Raw genomic sequence first — 19,146 nt, 5'->3', positions numbered from 1 at the left:
GAGGCCACGTGGCCTAGGCCCCGGACAGAAAGAGCAGTGGAACAGAGGACACGGGGCCACGCCCATACTCATGTGGAGGCCACGTGGCCATGCCCATACTGATGTGGACACACAATCATCCATGACAGGCACAGCAGTGCCAGCCAGAAGGCAAAGGATGGAACGTTCCATCAATGGTACAGAGAAAACAACTGGCTATCCACGTGGAAGAATGAAACTGGACTCTGTTGCACACCACACGCGAACTGAGGGTGGGGGAGAAAGTGGCGCCTAAAAACAACACTTCAGGACACAAAGGATATACTTTATTTATTTATTTATTTTTATTTTTTTTGAGACAGAGTCTCGCTCTGCCACCCAGGCTGGAGTGCTGTGGCACAATCTCGGCTCACTGCAACCTCCACCTCCCAGGTTCAAGCAATTCTCCTGCCTCAGCCTCCCAAGTAGCTGGGCTTACAGGCATGCGCCACTACACCCGGCTAATTTTTGTATTTTTAGTAGAGATGGGGTTTTGCCATGTTGGCCAGGCTGGTCTCAAACTCCTGGCCTCAAGTGATCTGCCTCCCTCGGCCCCCCAAAGTGCTGGGATTACAGGCATGAGCCACCGTGCCCGGCCAACAAAGGATAAATTTTAAAAACTGATGAAGTTAACTACCCCCAAATTTTAAACTTCTGTATGACAAAAGACACTATAATTAAGATTTCTCAATCACAAACTGGAAAAAGGTATTTGTAGTGGGTATGTGACTGACAAAGGATTCGTATCCAGAATGTATTCTACTTCAAAATCCTCCAAAGAATCCACAAGAGAAAAAATCTGGGGCATTCAGCGCAGTGGATCAGGTGAGAGGCCAGTTCCTAGTTTCCAGATGGGCAAGAACTAAAAAGATGATGAATACAAAGTTTAGGCGAAACCACAGACTGCCAAGGAGAGGAAAGGAAGAGAAGAGGCTTCCGTAGTACATGTGAAATGTGTTTCTAAACAAGAAATAGACAACAGATCTGAAGCTTTTTAAAAATGAAACAAATCTTTTTGACTTGCTAAAGCTGGGTAATAAGTTCAAAGGCATTCATTAGACTATTATCTACATGTTTCTGTATATTTAACATTTTTTATAATTAAAAAAAGCAAAAAGACCAAGGACTAATCTGAAGTGGTCTTTTCTAGTTACCAACAGACTCATCTATGTAGCAGCACCTCTCATCCATATGACTCAGCCTTGGGGTCAGCCAGGAGTGGACAGGGCCAGCCTCCAGCCCAGCCCTGGGAAAGGGTTCTGGTTCTGCCCCCTCTGCTGTCACTCAGACTCAACCCGCTCAGCATCCCCTCACTGGGAAAGGTGCATAGGCCTGGGGCAGCTCCTGACAGCCCTGTAACCTTCCTCTCAAGGGTCTCCCTGCAGGATTGTTCCCTTAAGAACTGCCATGAGTTTCCTCAGGGGCCAGGGCCCTGGAGTTTGAGAGAAGCTCAAAGGGATGGACAGCAGGACAGAGCCGAGCTGCTCCTCTCCTTCAGTTCCCAGTTGGGAGACGGGGAAATCCTGATGCCTTACCACATGAGTTCTCTTAACACTGCACTACACGTTCTGTGGCGGATTTAGTTTTGCTTATAAAATGACAAAATGAAAGTTCAAAATGACTAAGATTAAATGCAAATTACTTATATATGATATAAACTTTTTAAAATGTAGGAACTAAGGCAAAGAAACAATTTTCCTTCTATTTTTTATAATGGAGAAACTGTGATAAAAGGAACAATATTTCACCTTTAATTGCATTGTTCGATTTTCCTTATAATTTTTGGCACGAAATAAAAACAAATGGCCTTCTGGCCTCACGAGATTTCCCCGCATATGCGTATTTACATAGATGTGGTTTTGAGGCCATTCAAATGACAGAAATTGTTTCCCATTCTTTGCTAAGATTCAAGTGCACCAACTTCAGCTGCACAAGCAAAATCTTTGCTATGATTTCCTTTGAAATATTCATCACCAGACCACTGTGTTTCACAATTACCAGCCCATAATGCAGAGCACAGCCATTTTAAAATTCACGCCAACATCCCCACGTTTACGGCATGGGCTGTAGTAAGAGCTGTACATCACATTTCATGGCACAGCCAAATCCTAAAGCCTAAATGAGCCTGTTGCTACCCAGCCGGCCTCAGTGACTCATCCATTAGCTCTATGCCACCCATGTTCTCTTTTGCCAGATTCTTATCGGCATGTGTCTGTCCAGGTCTTGAGAACATTCCAACTGGTTAAAGACAAAGGTCACAGCCAATCAAATCTAGTGAGTCACAGGACGGGTTCTCCTCTCTACAGCCTCGGGGGCTGATCAGGGGAAGGGAATGATCTACAGGGTCTGTCCCTTGGTCCTGGGATTCTGGTCCAATGTATGAACACTCTCTAACTGAAATAAGCCTTTTAAAGCCATATAGTATAAGAGAAAGACATAAACTATACTGAACTTTTAAAATTCCCAATGGATATTTATTCTTTGGTTGATGTATCAGTCATGGTTCTCCAGAGAAACAGAACCGACAGGACGTATGTACATATACATGTATATAAATAGACAGAGGGCATTTATCTTAGGGACTTGGCTCATGCCATTGTAGAGGCTTGATGAGAACAAAATCTGGTGGGGTAGGAGGCAGGCTAGAGACTCAGGGAAGAGCTGCAGTTTAAGTCCACCCAAAAGCAGGCAGCATTCCTTCTTGCTTGGGAGAGGCCAGTCTCTGTCTATGAAGGCCTTCAACGGATGGGATGAGACCCACGCACATTATGGAGGGTCACCCTTCGCTTTATGCAAAGTCCCCTGACTTAAATGTTAGCCTTGAAACCCACCCAATCGTCCCACAGACCATTTTTTTGACAAACTTAGAAACTGACCCTTCTGATCTTAAAGCTTAAAACTTAACATTTGTTTTATCTGAGTTCCTTCCTCAGGAAAGGACTTGCCAGCTTCTCAAAAAGTATCAAAGGACTGAAACTCACCAGATCCGGACAATGAGATACCAGCCTCTCAAAAAGTATCAAAGAACTGAAACTACCAGCTTATAGCATCCAGACAGCTAGATGCCAAGCCCCTCATTCATCTTGACTGCTTCCTTACCCCTCCCTGTTTTCCCATACATCATTACTTTTCGTCCCTGCTATGTTTTAGTCAGTCAGGGAGATGCATTTAAGACTGAGTTCCCACCTCCTGGGCTGCAGCACCCAATTAAAGCCTTCTTCCTTGGGAATAATTGTTGTCTTGGGGATTGGCTTTCTGTGCAGTGAGCAGCAGGACCCAGACAGAACCCCTGGTGTTTCTGTAACAACCTCAACCAAAAAACACCTTCGGAGAGACATCCAGAATAATGTTTGACCAAATATCTGGCAATGGTGATTCCGCCAAGTTGACGTATAAATTAACCATTACAGTGATGACTGCATCTGTCATCAATGATGTGCTCAGTGATGACAGATCGTTTTCATGTTCAAATTTGAAAGGCGTTTCCCAGGGCTGTGTTCCTAGGTCCTTTTATATACCAATTGACTGGTTTAAATATTCAATTTATTAATGAAAAATCAACATGCACTGGGAAGCCGGGAACTCCTAGGGCTCACAGATGAGGAATGGTCTAGCCAGCCTTTCCGATGGGCAGCTGAGAGTTGGGAGAGTGAACAAGGCAGCCCCCTCCCCCAACCTGCTCTCTCTCATCCTTTGCTGCTGCTGGCCCTGCAGGGAGGCAAGGATCCTTAAACCAGAAAAATGCACACCAGCAAAAACTAGCTAAGAATCAAACTCAAAAAAAATGACCTTGATTTACATATTTTAGCAAGGGCCTGAGGAGAGATCCAAGGTCACCAGCAGGTGCTTAGAGGAGACCACAGGAGACTCGGCGCAGGATCACAGGGCCTGCTGGCCGCCAAGACACATCAGGGAGGCGGCTCACTTCACAAGCTCCCGTCACAAGTACCGCACCGCCTGCACACGCCTATCTCCTTTATGGATGAAATCAAAGACATCCTTTCAATGCTGCTCTGTCAAAACTTCATGAATTATACAAGCTCAAGTAGACTGTGGGGGCCAGAGCTGCCACTAAGTTGCAAGAAGGATTAACTTTCTGCTGCTAACCTCAGCCACCCTCGATGCTCCTCCTCCCATTTCCCAAATCTCAACATTCCATGTCTGATGACTCAGCATTTCTAGAAAATGCTGTAACACCATGTGGTCTGTGAGCACCACTCTAAAGGTACTTTTGCTATCCTGTCCAAACTGATGAACTTCGCTGTTTTCTTAATTTTTGTCAAGGATGTTCTTGGCAAATTCAAAGGGAAGAGAACCACTGTGAGCCCTGATTATTTTTTCTTTGAAGCAAGAAATGACATCACACCAGTTAATACGTCAAAGCCTCAACTCTCTCTGTAGACTGAACTTAGCTAAAAGAGCATAGGGGTCAGAGAAGGAGTAAGTGTGGGGCAGCTCTCAGTGAGCGACCCACGTTCTGTCCCCAGCCCTGCAATGACTTGTGAGGCCCGCCGGTGGGCATGTCCACAGGCTGAGGCTCACAGGTCTGCATCAGCCACACAGACATACACACGGGCTCACCCCTGTGCACACCAGTGTGCAGCCTGCAGTCTGCTCCCAGGGCATGCATGCAAGGTGCCCACCAAGCCCCTCCACTCCAGTTTCCACTCCTGGGCATCCTCGTTCACTCTCTCCTGGGACTCATTCCTGCTCTCCCAGCCTGGGAAGTGCCTTCTTCCGCCACCACCAACCCAAGGCCCCATCCCTTATGGTGAGTCCTGTCCCTCTTCACTGAGACACTCTGGGCTGCTGCGGGCTCCCTCCATACCTCTCTGTCCTGTGCTCTGGGGCTGTATTCCCCCTGCAATCTATCAGGACACCCACGCACAGTGCATCCCTCTAGGTACTCGCTTCCCCACAGGGACTCCTGAGGCCAGGGTAAGGCGCCCTGCTCCGACATCCCTCCAGTGCACAGCTGAGACACAGGTACACAGCGTGCCCTCTTCTGTTCTTGTGGAAAGAGCAGGGGCACTGAACTCAGGCCTGGCCCACAACTCCCACCCCATATGGTCCCTGTATGGTGCAGGACAAACTGAAGTCCCTGCCTCAGCTTCCAACAGCTCATCTGTAAGACGGCAATCATGATGTCCAGTACACGAGTACACGCTTTCCAGTACAAATGATGGTAAGAATTAGAGATGACACTGAGTGCATATCACCATATCACAGAGCTCTGTACCCAAAACAGGTGATTAAGAGAATGGTGAAGCCTACGGTGTGTTAATACCTGTCTCACTGTGAACACTAAACTGAAAATTCCTCAAAACAGACAGGCAGCTTAGGTGCAAATGAAGCTCAGTTTCCTCAGCTGGAAAAAGGAAGAGTCCAGCTGGATAAACTCTAAAGGTCTCAGGACCTCTGAGACCCAGACCTGTGAGGTCCTCAGTTCAAGAGCACTGCTTTGTGAAGGCTGAAGCAGCCTGCCAGGTGCACAGGACCTGAGAAGAAGCTCAGCGAGGCCACTCCCCGAAAGACGACTTATCGTGCCTGTCTCTATCAACACGCAGCCACCCCCTCCGCAAGGCCACACCCCCCCAAAGACGACTTCTCCTGCCTGTCTCTATCAACAAGCAGCCACCCCCTCCACGAGGCCACTCCCCAGCAAAGACGACTTCTCGTGCCTGTCTCTATCAACACGCAGCCACCCCCTCCGCGAGGCCACTCCCCACCAAAGACGACTTCTCGTGCCTGTCTCTATCAACAACCCCTCTGCGAGGCCACTCCCCCCAAAGACGACTTCTAGTGCCTGTCTCTATCAACACGCAGCCACCCAAAGACGACTTCTCGTGCCTGTCTCTATCAACAAGCAGCCACAACCTCTGCGAGGCCACTCCCCACCAAAGATGACTTCTCCTGCCTGTCTCTATCAACACGCAGCCACCCCCTCCGCGAGGCCACTCCCCACCAACTTCTCGTGCCCGTCTCTATCAACAAGCAGTCACCCCCTCCCCGAGGCCACTCCCCACCAAAGATGACTTCTCGTGCCTGTCTCTATCAACAAGCAGCCACCCCCTCTGCGAGGCCACTCCCCCCAAAGACGACTTCTCATGCCTGTCTCTATCAACAAGCAGCCACCCCCTCTGCGAGGCCACTCCCCACCAAAGACAACTTCTCGTGCCTGTCTCTATCAACACGCAGCCACCCCCTCCGTGAGGCCACACCCCCCCAAAGACGACTTCTCCTGCCTGTCTCTATCAACAACCCCTCTGCGAGGCCACTCCCCCCAAAGACGACTTCTCGTGCCCGTCTCTATCAACAAGCAGCCACCCCCTCCGCGAGGCCACTCCCCACCAAAGACGATTTCTCGTGCCCGTCTCTATCAACAAGCAGCCACCCCCTCTGCGAGGCCACTCCCCCAAAGATGACTTCTAGTGCCTGTCTCTATCAACACGCAGCCACCCCCTCCCCGCTACTGTCAACTGCAACCGACCCAGACCTGGAGCAAGCAAACGAAGGGGACGCTGAGGAAGCAGAGGCTGTGGCTACCAGGACCCACCACCGGACACCCCCAGGAGAGCTTCTGCAGGCCCAGCATCCACCTGGAGGGGACACAGGTGCTCATTTTCTAAACAGGACAGTAAAGGGCATGCATGTTGCGTTTCTGACAGCACTGACTGGGATTTCCCGAAGTTACTCGGCTGCTGGAACACGGGGCAGAGTGGCAGTAGGGGACGAGCACATCCACCCTGGAGTGGCATCCAGGCAGAAATGTCTATGCACCTCCAAGACGCCCCGTCTGTCTGAGCGCTCCCTGGGCTGGGACTGGGTCTCCTGTGCCTATATCCTTGTCATTCCTGCCCAGCTCAGTGTGTGCCGGGTGGAGACATGAGCTGGCGGATGCTGGCCTTTCCTAGCATGAATGGGTGGCAAGCCCCGGAATCTTCATCTTTCACAGGCTCCCAAGATGATTCCCAGGTGAGGTGGAGCTGGAGAACCACTTTGCTGGGGTATAAGCTTCTAGAGATGAGGACCGCCCCCCCACCCCTCTGGGACCCCACAGACCTAGCACGGGACCGCTGCGCACGGCGGGGCCCGGGGAAATGATACAGACATCCAGAGGGTGAGCGAATGCCACGCCAAAGTTCCGGACTGTTCACATCCCCGGAGGCTTCACACTGGGCTGTTCTGACCTCTGCTTATCACTGATGACTGAGCATTTACAAGGACCTCCCACCACCAACCTTGAGCAAACACTTCAACCTGTCCCCTTGTAAGTTGGGCTGTGAATAAGACTTGTGAATAAAAGTCTTATTGAACCAATTTGAACAAAAAGAATCCACATTCACCCAATAACCATTAACCAGGGAATTCTTAGATTTTACAGAAAATGGAACAGTGAGAAGAATTTCTTACGATCTAAAACAAGGAAAATTATACAGGTTCTGCACAACAATAAGAAACAAGACAGGATCTTTAAGACAGTCAAACTGTCCCCTTGTCACCTCCAGCTTCCCACTCTGGTGACTAGAGTGACACCTCCCACCCTGCCGGCCTCACTCCTCCCACACGAGCTCACCCAGGCCAGGCTTTCCGCCTTTGTGCGCACATGTCTGTGTGCATGGACTGTGTGTACGTCTACGTGTGGTGTGATGTGTAAAACCATTTTCAAATAAGACTTTTCAAGAATTCCCCAAAGTAAAAAGCATAGTAGAAAGACAGCCCTGCATCCATCACTCAAGATCCACAATGATCAATATTTGGCCAATGCCATTTCATTTATTACCGACCCCCGCTCTGCCTGCATGCTGCTAGGTTATTCTAAAGCAAATCCCAGACATCACATTTCACAGCTTCTCTCAGAGACAACAACTTAGACACATAATCACAAGCCTATTATTACATCAAAACAATTAACCATGATTCCTTAATGTGATCCTGCATGCCTCCCAATCATGTGTCTTTCTGCTGTCACTTTGTTCTCATCAGTCTCCAAATGACACATACACAATGCATCTGAGAGCCAACTCTCTTACTCATTTAAAATCTCGAATTCCCTCCTCTTTCTTGCTTCTCTGTCCTGCTTTTGTGGAAGCAATCTGGTCATGGCCATGTGGGATGTTTCACACTCTAGTTCTGGCTAGTTTATTCCCCTGCTGAGTTCCATCCGTTTCCCCCTTCCCTGGTACTCCCTGCAAGCAGGACTGCGGTCTAAAGGCTGGATCCTATGCAGATGGGATCTGTGTGTGTGCGAGAACGCTTCGCTGTTGGAGCTGTGGCCTTCACATTTCACCGCATCAGAAGGTGTGAAATGTCTGGGGTCTCCTTCCTGGTGATGCTGCAATTGATCGGCAGGTCCAGGTGTTACCAGGCAGAACCATCCATCACCAAGTCCCCTGCAAGCTCCCTCTCGTGGTTCTGAATGCTACTGGTGAGCACTGGCTTGACTCATTTCATTAGGGTGACACTGCAATTCTTTCACTGCCTCTCCATTTACAGCCACAGTTCTTCCATAAGGAATAACTTGCCGTCAAAAAAAAAAATTTGATTAGCAGGAAAATAGAATACTTTCTTGACTCTTTCCTTTTATATACCAGTTGGTGCCCTAGCAACCTTCACGGGTGAACTAGTAAGGGCTTTACTTAGAAGTTATTATGAATTCATAGACTTTAACATTCTTGGTATGTTCTAATAAACTGCCATCATAATTCTTTCTGATGCTTTGTTTTCCTATTTTTGGCTAGAGAGGGTCCCTTTAAATTGGGCTCTTGGCATGACCCAAGAGTCTATGAGAAGTTCCTTGCTTTCTGTACGACTAGATGTTCCAGATTCATCTTAAACATTTTCTGGCATCAAACATTTCTCTAAGGAGCCTTGGTTTCTTTTCATGGGAAACGGCTTAAGGACTCCGCAGGGTGCTCATTTCCACTGGGGTTGATAACTGGGTCCAATAATTTTCAGTGGTCACAGCCAGAAGATAAGAGGTTATTTTTTCAAAGGGCAGAATCCACCAACAGTTCATATTGAATCTTTTTTAAATTTATTATTATTATTATTATTTTTTATTTGAGATGGAGTCTTGCTCTGTTGCCCAGGCTGGAGTGCAGTGGCGCAATCTTGGCTCACTGCAACCTCTGCCTCCCGGGTTCTCGCCATTCTCCTGCCTCAGCCTCCCAAGTAGCTGGAACTACAGGCGCCCGCCACCACGCCTGGCTAATTTTGTATTTTTAGTAGAGATGGGGTTTCACTGTGTTAACCAGGATGGTCTTGATCTTCTGACCTCGTGATCCGCCCGCCTCAGCCTTCTAAAGTGCTGGGATTACAGGCATGAGCCACCACGCCTGGCTATATTGAACCTTAATTCATATTTAAGCTTATGGGTGTTTTACTTCTTTAATTTTATGCTTGATTCTCTTTTATGTTAGAATTTGTTAGAATTTGTGGTTCCTCTAACATTATCATAATTACTTATCTGCTTTGTCTTAATAGATATATGTGCAAATATGTATTTCAGTAAGTAGGTATATAAGTCATAGTTTCAAACAGCACTAATAATATTACCAACAATCTGAAGTTTGAGAACTTTTGCAATTCTTTTTTGCTTAAGATATATCCTACTGGGGCTGTACATTCAAATTGCTTCAAAGTCTGTTTGAAGTCATTTTTCTCTGTGTGATTAAAGTACCGACTTGACACATAGTTTAGGTTCTCTTTTCATTTGATTTTGTTCTTGCTTTTTAAGAATAGCTTTCTGATTTGGGCTTAGTTTGGCTTTATAATTATGTAAAGCAATACATGATTCAAAGTAAAAAACTATAAAACAAGGTACATTCAGAGAAGAGAAGTCAGGCTTCAGATCTGACCCTTTGTATCTCATCTTCCCCATATAGACTATAACCCTTTTTCATTGGTTTCTGGTTTATTCTTTAATTTTGTTTGGTTTGTAATATAAGCAAATAGGAAAGTTTGTGTGCATGCGCGTATGCGTGTACGCTCATACTCTGCCAACCAATCAACAGGTAAGTGATGGGATATGACACACACAGTTCTGCACCTTGCACCTCCAGTAAACAGTGAGGCAACCAAGAGCTCACTAGCTGCAGACGGAGCACCCACATTCCTTTCAGCCCCGTGCAGAACTCCAGTTGCGGGGTGGCAGGTGTAGAACAGCTTATTCAGCCAGTTTCACATTGATGGATATCTATCTTTTGCTACTGCAAACAGTGCTACGATGAACAGGCCTGTAGATACAGCATTTTTTCTTTTCTCCAACTAATCTTTTGGATGGCTCCTGGGCCAACAGTTGTCCAGGCATATGCTACTTGCTAGAGTGTGTGAACCACCCGTCTGTGCTCATTCTTGCTGGGTCCCTGTGTCCGCCCTGCTGCCGCACTGTGCTCCCCTCCCGGCTGTCTGCCCTCCTTTCCTCTCACCGTACGAGGAAAGTCCCCATAGGCTGACGGCTCTCTGCTGTTGGGCATTAGATAATATTACCTATGATAAAATACTATCGCGTATACACTGTTAGTATATAGGGGGAGGAGAACACTTTATTAAACTTTTATCCCGAAATAATTGTAGCTTCATATGTAGTTGTAAGAAACAACACAAAGCAATGCCCCTGGACCCTTTACCCAGATTAAGGCTACGGTTTGTTTTTAGTTTGTTTGTTTGTTTGTTTGTTTGAGATGGGGTTTCACTCTTGTCGCCCAGGCTGGAGTGCAATGGCGCGATCTCAGCTCACCGCAACCTCCGCCTCCCAGGTTCAAGCGATTCTCCTGCCTCAGCCTCCTGACTAGCTGGGATTACAGGCGCCTGCCACCACGCCCGGCTAATTTTGTGTTTTTAGTAGAGACGGGGTTTCTCCAGGCTGATCTCAAACTCCCGACCTCAGATGATCCGCCCACCTCAGCCTCCCAAAGTGCTGGGATTACAGGCATGAGCCACCGCGCTCGGCCAGCCATGGCTACAGTTTTAATTTACGGTAGAAAATGGTACACATGGGAGCCACAGCGCTCCCAGAAGAGCGCTGGGCTACAGTGCCCAATGGACACGTCCTGACACCACAGTCAACTGACATTTCACACATTCTACTAAATTCTTGATTCTAGTGGGCACTGGCATGCTTCAAATGCTTAATCTAAGCACATGGTTTTAACTTAACTGTTTACATCACAATTTAATCTGGTCTGCACATTCATCAGTGCACATGTACGTATGGGTGGACAGCAAGTGCATCTGTGTGCATGAATGTAGATGGTAGTGTGATTTCTTCTAAAAAGTCTAGCTATTCTCCCATCTCTGGATTCCCGGTGAACAAATATTAATTTGACCATAAAACTATATTATTTGAATCCTTGGCCCTTTTTTTTCTACTTGATAACTCACACACTGATAAGAAAGAATTAAAGTTCTCTATTGCAACTGTAATCTTTCGATCAGATTTTGGCTTTCTGTTTTCTTATCTTGACGACTTCTGACATATATATTTAATATTGTTTTACCACAATAAAATGGCTCTATGTAATTAACTTAATGCAATTTTCCTTAGTCATTTTTTAATCTGAATACTATCACTCCTATTTTGCCTATAGCTCAAGTTTGATTGGGAGAGCTCTGCCCAGCATTTTACTTCTAATCCTTCCATGCCTAATAATAAATGCTAAGATGGAAAATTCAAGCAAAAATTGGCAACTGTAAGACTGCATGGATAAAATATTTATCTAATCCATAGATAAAGGAATATTTTTGGTGCTCTATGTTACTTTCTGGAAAAAATTCATGATCAACCAAAAACTGATATTTTTATAGTTTTAAATGGTTTAAATATTGAGTTAATATCAATATATGTATATATTTATAAGACAGAGTCTTGCTCTATCACCCAGGCTAAAGTGCAGTGGCATGATCTCAGCTCACTGCAACCTCCGCCTCCTGGGTTCAAGCAATTCTCATGCCTCAGCCTCTGTGTTGCTGGAATTACAGGCACACGCCACCATATCCGGCTAATTTTTGTATTTTCAGTAGAGACGGAGTTTCATCATGTTGGCCAGGCTGGTCTCAAACTCCTGACCTTCAGGCGATCCGCCTGCCTTAGCCTCCCAAAGTGCTGGGATTACAGGTGTGAGCCACCATGCCTGGCCTCAAAATATTTTTTTAATATGAAAGTAAAAGAATGCCAATAGTCCAAGAACGCTTAGAGTTACCATCTATTGTTTAAGGAGAAAATGAACCTCTGGATTGGTAACTTCCCCTGAAGCCAGCCATTTCCATGAGATTCTAATCCTTTCAAGGTAAACACTGTCCTTAATTGTGCATTTATCATTTCCTCACTTTTCTCTATCTTTGTACCATACTTGTTTTCTTCTGGTTTTGAATTTTAGATAAAGATAAGCATAAACTATGTATTCATCAGGGACTTTTCATACATTCACATTACTTCGTGTAGCTGCAGACTATTATTAATTTTCATTTCCCCAACAATACTCCACAGTTTATCCATTCTGTTGCTGAATACTTAGGTTCTGCTCCTTTCTTGCTATTAAAAATCAGGACTGCAGGAATCCGCGTGCACATTTTCAAGAGTCCCCCTAGAGCAGTGGCTCTCAACTGCTGCGTGCTCCAGAACCACCTGGAGGGCTCGTTAAGCACAGCCTGCTGGGCCCCGCCTCCTGCATCTCTGACCCCGCAGATCACTCAGGAATGAGACTCATGAATCTGCATTTCTAACAGAAATGCAGCAACCTGTTGATGCACCCAGCAACATCCTGCTGATGCGGAAGCTGCCGGTCCAGTCGTCACCCCTGGAGAATCAGTGCTCTCAAGTGGCACCTCGGGAAGAATTCTGCAATGATGGGAATGTCTACATCTGTGCTGCCCAATACTGTAGCCGCCGGCCACAGATGGGTCTGCAGTACCTCAACTGTGACGAGTGTGACTGAGAAATGTCATGTTTCAATCTATTCATTTAAACAACTGCATGTGGCTAATGGCCACCATACTAGACAGGGCAGCCTGACTGCGTATGACTTAAGTGTGGAATACCTGGATCGTAGAGAATGCACCTCATCAACTCTCCCCGGTGAAGCCAAATTCTTTTTTGCAGTTGATTTTCACAGTGTACACTGGTAAATCCAAATACTATCACTCCTATTTTGCCTCTTACAAAATTCACAAAATTTTGTAAATTTTATTAACTTGAATCCTTTGCATTTCCGCATGCCTGGGGCTTCTGGCTGCGCTACACATTTGCTAGCATTTAGAGTTGTCAATCCTTTCGTTGTCAGCCATTCTGGTGGGCGTGCAGTAGTATCTCACTGTGGTTTTAATATACCCTTGATGAGTAATGTTGAGTACTTCTTCAAGTGTTTGATGGCCATTTGAATATCTTCCCACCAGTGTGTGGGATGGTTCTTACTACCCTACCTCCCTAAGATGACAATTTATCTTTCACCCTTAAGCAAACGGTCTGCCAAAGCCTCACTCACAGACAGATTCACAGAGCTCAGCACAAGGGTAAGGAGCCTCCCCTGGGGCTGGGCAGGAGTTGCTCCCAACGCAGCCTCACTGAGGACGGCGCCCTCTGAGCTGACGGCTTTATTTAGAGGGTTCTCCCCTCAGCCTCACTACCTGGGGAGAACCGTGACCATTTCCTTTTGTCCCAAGTACTTGAGATGGTCTCGCCCACGGAAGCTCAGGTTAACCAGATTTGGAAAACAGGACGAGGATGCCACTTACTTTGGGTTCATGTTTTGACTCGTGTGTGTGTGTGTGTGTGTGTGTGTGTGTGTGTCTTCTAAGTATTTCTAGATTTCAACATTTTACATGATTTTAATAGTTTTTTTCGGATGTATAATTTAAAACACAGAGATCTAAGCAAACTATTTGCTGAGTCTTGCAATTGAATATACCAGTGGAATCCACATCCCTATCAAGATATATAAATGTCCTTCTGCCAGCAATCCCGCACTACCCAGGGCTAACCAGAGGAAACCACCATTTTGATTTCTATTACTCTTGATTAGTTTTCGTCAGTTCTAGAACTTAGCGTAAGTGAAATCAGGCGGTATGTTTTCTCTTGCAGTTTTCTCTTGCTGGTTAAAATGTTTCTGAGATTCATCCACGTTGTCATTGAAGAGCACTGCTCGGTATGAATTTGTTAATCCATTCCCTTGCTGACATATATTTGCATTGTTTCCAGGTTTTGGCTGGTATGAATAAAGCTGCTATGAACATTCTGGTACAAGTACTTTTTTGTGGACATAAATGTTCAGTTCTCATGCACATACCTAGGAATGGAGTTTGTTTAGTTTTATAAGAAAGTGCCAGTTTTCCAAAGTGGTGGTACCACTTAACATTCCCATCAGCTGTGCCTGGGGCTTCTGGCTGAGCCACATACTTGTCAGCACTTAGTGTTGTCAGTTCTTTCATTTTTAGCCATTAAGGAGGGCGTGTAGTAGTACCTTGTTTGTGGTTTTAATTTGAATTTCCTTGATGACTAATAAGGTTGAGTACTTTTTCAAGTGTTTGTTGGCCATCAGAATATCTTCTGCTGTGCAGTGTCTATCTGAACCTTCTGTCCACTTTTAAAGTGGGCTATTTGTAATGTTAGCTATAGGAGTTTTTATATATCCTGGATATGGGTACTTTGTCAGATGTATGTATTATAAATATACCCTCCCTGTCTGTCCTTTGACTATTCAGATCTCTACTCGATTCTATTATTCTATTATCTATCCTTATGTCAATGCCACGCTGTCCTGATAACTGCCGCTCTGTAGGAAGTCCTAAAATCAAGAAGTTCTCAAACTTAGTTGTTCTTTTAAAAAACTCTGTAAATTTTATTAACTTGAATCCTTTGCATTTCCACATAAATTTTAGAATAAATTGATTTGTGTCTATAATAAAGGTTAGTAGGAATCTGATTAGGATTTCACTGACTTTAAAAATCAGTTTGCGGACAGTTAATTTTTTTTTTATTTTTGAGATGGAGCCTTGCTCTGTCGCCCAGGCTGGAGTGCAGTGGCGTGATCTTGGCTCACTGCAACCTCCACCTCCTGGGTTCAAGCGATTCTTCTGCCTCAGCCTCCCAAGCAGCTGGGACTACAGGCATGCGTCACCACGCCTGGCTAATTTTTGTATTTTTAGTAGAGACGGGGTTTCACCACCTTGGCCAGGCTGGTCTTGAACTCCTGACCTCAGGTGATCCACCCGCCTCGGCCTCCCAAAGTGCTGGGATTACAAGCATGAGCGACCATGCCTGGCCGTCAATTAATATTTTAACAGTGTTAAGTCTTTGTACTCATAAAACATGGTATATCTCACCATATGTTTAGATCTTTTTCTATTTCTCTCAGCACTGTCTTGCAGTTTTTAGTGTAAAGATCTTGAGTAGTTTTAAATTTATCCCTAAGTATTTTTAGGATTTTTAATGTTGTTATAAAATGATATCAACTTCTAAATTTTATTTTCTAATTGTTTATTGCTAATATACAGAAATACATTTGATTTTTCTGTATTAACCTTGTATCCTGCATCCACTTTTTCTGGTAGATTCTTAAATTTTTTCTATCTATATAATCCAAAGGACAATTGAGCTTTTTCCTTGTCAATCCTCATGTCTTTTATTTCACTTTCGTGACTGGAGGCCCCGGCTAAACTCCCCAGAGCAATACTGAATAGAAGTAGTGAGAGCAGAATTCTTGCCTGGTTCTCACCTTAGGGGGAAAAGCATTTGATAACTTCACCACTAATTATGAGGTAAGATGTGAGACTCTATGAGTGTCTTTCAACACGGAAGTGCCCTTCTACTCCTAGTTTATGGAGCGTTTCTACCACGGCGGGTGCTGAATTTTGTCAAATGCTATTTCTGCATCTATTGACATGGTCATATGGTTTTCCCCTTTATTCTGTTAACGTGGTCAGTCACATGGGTAGATTTTGGAAGGGTAAAGCAACCTTGCAAGCCTAGAACAAATGCTACTCAGTGTGTACTGTCATTTTTTTTTTTTTTTTTTTTTTGAGACGGAGTTTCGCTCTTGTTGCCCAGGCTGGAGTGCAATGGCACAATTTCGGCTCACCGCAACCTTCGCCTCCCAGGTTCAAGCAATTCTCCTGCCTCAGCCTCCCTAGTAGCTGGGATTACAGGCATGCGCCATCACGCCCAGCTAATATTGTATTTTTAGTAGAGACAGGGTTTCTCCATGTTGGTCAGGCTGGTCTCGATCTCCTGACCTCGTGATCCACCCACCTCGGCCTCCCAAAGTGCTGGGATTACAGGCGTGAGCCACCATGCCCGGCCAAGATGTTTCAATGTTACTGATTTTTTGATTTTGTTGATCTCCTCCATTGCTTGCCCATTTTCTATTTCACTGATTTCTGTTCTTTTCATTTTCATTTCCTTCCCTCTACTTCCTTTGGGTTTAATTTCCTCTTCTTTTACTGGCTTCTGAAGGTAAAAACTAAAATTCCTGATTTTAAGTCCTTCTTCTTTTCATTCATATATATATATATATATTTTTACAGGTATATGGTTAGCTCCCCAAGCACTGCTTTAGCTATAACCCACAAATTCAAAGGTTACATTTTTATAATCCATTCGGTTAAAAAAAAATCTCTTTTCCCTTTGACTTCTTTGAATCGCGGATTATTTAAAAGCATGCTGCTTAAGTTTCAAAATTTTTGAGATTTTTATCTTTCTGATTAATTTCTAACTTAATTCTATTAGAGTTAGATAACATACTCCATATAACTTTGATCCTTGTCTTACGGCCCAGGAAATCATGGTGATTCGTTACTGAGTACTTGCAAAGAATGTTGTTGGGTATCTGCCATTGTTGAATGTAGTATTCTATAAATGTCAATGAGATCAAGCAAGCTACTTCATAATTTTATTTAAATCAAATATACTTTTACTGATTTTTGGTCTCTTCATGCCATCAATGACTGAGAAACAAAAGTAAAAATCTCTGGTTATAACTAGTTTATCTACTCCCTTCAAGTCTGTCCATTTGTGCTTCATGTAATTAGAAGTCCTGTTAACACATTTAGGGTAGTTTATACGTTTTTGGTTAACAGATCTTTTATCATTAAAAAAGAAAAAAGTCCTTCTTTAGCTGTGGTAGTATGCCAAAGTATGTCTTGCAGTCTCCCTAATTTGATATTAATGTAGCCAGCCTTCTACTGACTAGTATTTGCATTGATACACCTTTTTTAAATCATTTTTTCTATCCATGTTATTACACGTAAAGTGCTTCATCTGCAAACAGCACATAGTTGGATCTTGCTTGTCTATTCACTCTTACAATCTATCTTTTAATTGAAGTATTTAATCCATTTATATCTAACATAACTGTTAATATGATTAAGTGTAAGTCTACTATATTGCTGTTGCTTTTGATGTTCTCTTCTGTACTCCTCTTTTTTCCTACATGTCCAGACTCTTTCGGATCAATCAAATATCTTGCAGTACTCCATTTTATCTTCTCTACTAGGATTTTATACCTATGTTTTATTTTGCTAGTGGTCGCTCTAGGGTTTATAGAATACATCCTTACCTCATCTGAATTTATCTTCAGTTACTTTGCACCACTTAAATATAAGAACCTTACAAGAGTTTACTTCCATTTACCCCTTCCCTGTGCTATTATAAATGCTATTTTCTAGCAGTTTTATTTCTTTTCCATGGGAAGGTAGCTATTTCACCAACCTACTAGAAATGAAACTTCAATTTTTCTTTATCAAGATGTCTGTCCCGGCTGGGCACGGTGGCTCAAGTCTGTAATCCCAGTACTTTGGGAGGCCAAGGCAAGTGGATCACCTGAGGTCAGGAGTTCAACACCAGCCTGGCCAATATGGTGAAACCCCATCTCTACTAAAAATACAAAAGTTAGCTGGGCATGCTGGCAGGTGACTGTAATCCCAGTAACTAGGAAGGCTGAGACAGGAGAATTGCTTGAACCTGGGAGGTGGAAGTTGCAGTGAGCCAAGATCGTGCCACTGCACACCAGCCTGGGTGACAGAGTAAGACCTTGTCTCAAAAAAAAAAAAAAAAAAAAGTCTGCTCTACATTCTCACTTACCCACTCAATGACAACAAGCCCCAAGCCACGTAAAGTAGCGCTCTCTTGTTCGTATATATACAGGGTGTTTAGAGAGGGCAAAGAGAGAAGCTCTGCACAGTTGAGGACACTGTAGCTGAGAGCTCTGTAAACTGATGGAATCGGTCCACGTCCTTCTGTGAGCCTTTCCACCCCAATACTCTCTATCATACTACAGCAGCTCCTGAGGAGAAAACCAGTCTCCGTGGGAGCATTCCTACCATGTGATAGACCTTAGATGAATGTAAGGAAAGCCTTCTTAACTAGAACCAATTAATAATGGAAGAGGCTGCCTTGTGAGTAATGGGTTCACTGTCACCACAGGTAGTGCAGCAGACACTGGATGATCAGCAAAAAAGGGTGCAACAAAAGGATTGTATATGGGGTGGTAGGTTCCCTAAACCTCGATGGTAAGAATCACACTGATAGCAACTACACGCCACAGCTCTGGCCTGTGACACGGCACTGCGTGCCACAACTGTGCTAAGCGCGTTACATTCACTATTCCATTTGGTTTACTCCTCACAATGGTCTCATGAAGTGGATCCTACCACCAGCAGTGTCTTACAGGTAAGGGAGCGGGGGGCATGGAGCTGTTCCATGCCAGCCATTCTCACCTGTCTTAGCTCTCCGGGGAGGGGAGGGGGCACACTTGCATACACGATTGCAATTCTCACCCTTTTTCTACATTTATTTTGAAAGCAAAAATCTTACAGTATAGATTGAAACATACTCACGTCCATCCAGGGAGAGAGGTGACACAAAGACCAAGGGCAGAGGGAAGAGAAGTGAGCTCAGAGCCAGGAGAGCAGGCTTCTCCCTGTTTCTCTCCACGGCACTGCCACATACTTTTACCAAGTGATAGCCTGCTCATCCACAAAACCTGAAATCACACTTTCTACCCCCTCAAGGGTGTCTAGGGGGACCAAACACAGCAACTCCGTGGATGGGCCTGGCATGGAGATCCAGAACACTGCTGTAACAGATGGGCATGTATGACCAAGTTCTGTAAATTTCAAGTGCTAAATACAAGA

General features: G+C 44.8%; 1 protein-coding gene across 12 annotated transcripts in view, besides 1 other annotated feature; it reads right to left on the bottom strand.

Moving 5' to 3' along the window:
- The window catches only part of TBC1D22A (TBC1 domain family member 22A), a 413,050-nt gene that overhangs the window by 78,544 nt on the left and 315,360 nt on the right, over positions 1-19,146 (bottom strand).
- Positions 6,235-7,208: an enhancer, noted in NCBI's record as "H3K4me1 hESC enhancer chr22:47485844-47486817 (GRCh37/hg19 assembly coordinates)". NCBI's record gives its function as "activates a minimal SCP1, AML or CMV promoter by ChIP-STARR-seq in naive H9 embryonic stem cells {active_cell/tissue: H9 hESC(naive)}" and the evidence as "EXISTENCE:reporter gene assay evidence [ECO:0000049][PMID:30033119]".

Source organism: Homo sapiens, chromosome 22 (genome assembly GCF_000001405.40).
Source record: "Homo sapiens chromosome 22, GRCh38.p14 Primary Assembly".
NCBI classification, from domain to species: Eukaryota; Metazoa; Chordata; class Mammalia; order Primates; family Hominidae; genus Homo; species Homo sapiens.
The sequence above is the reverse complement of the archived record's forward strand: the minus strand, read 5'-3'. Positions and strand labels throughout refer to the sequence as shown.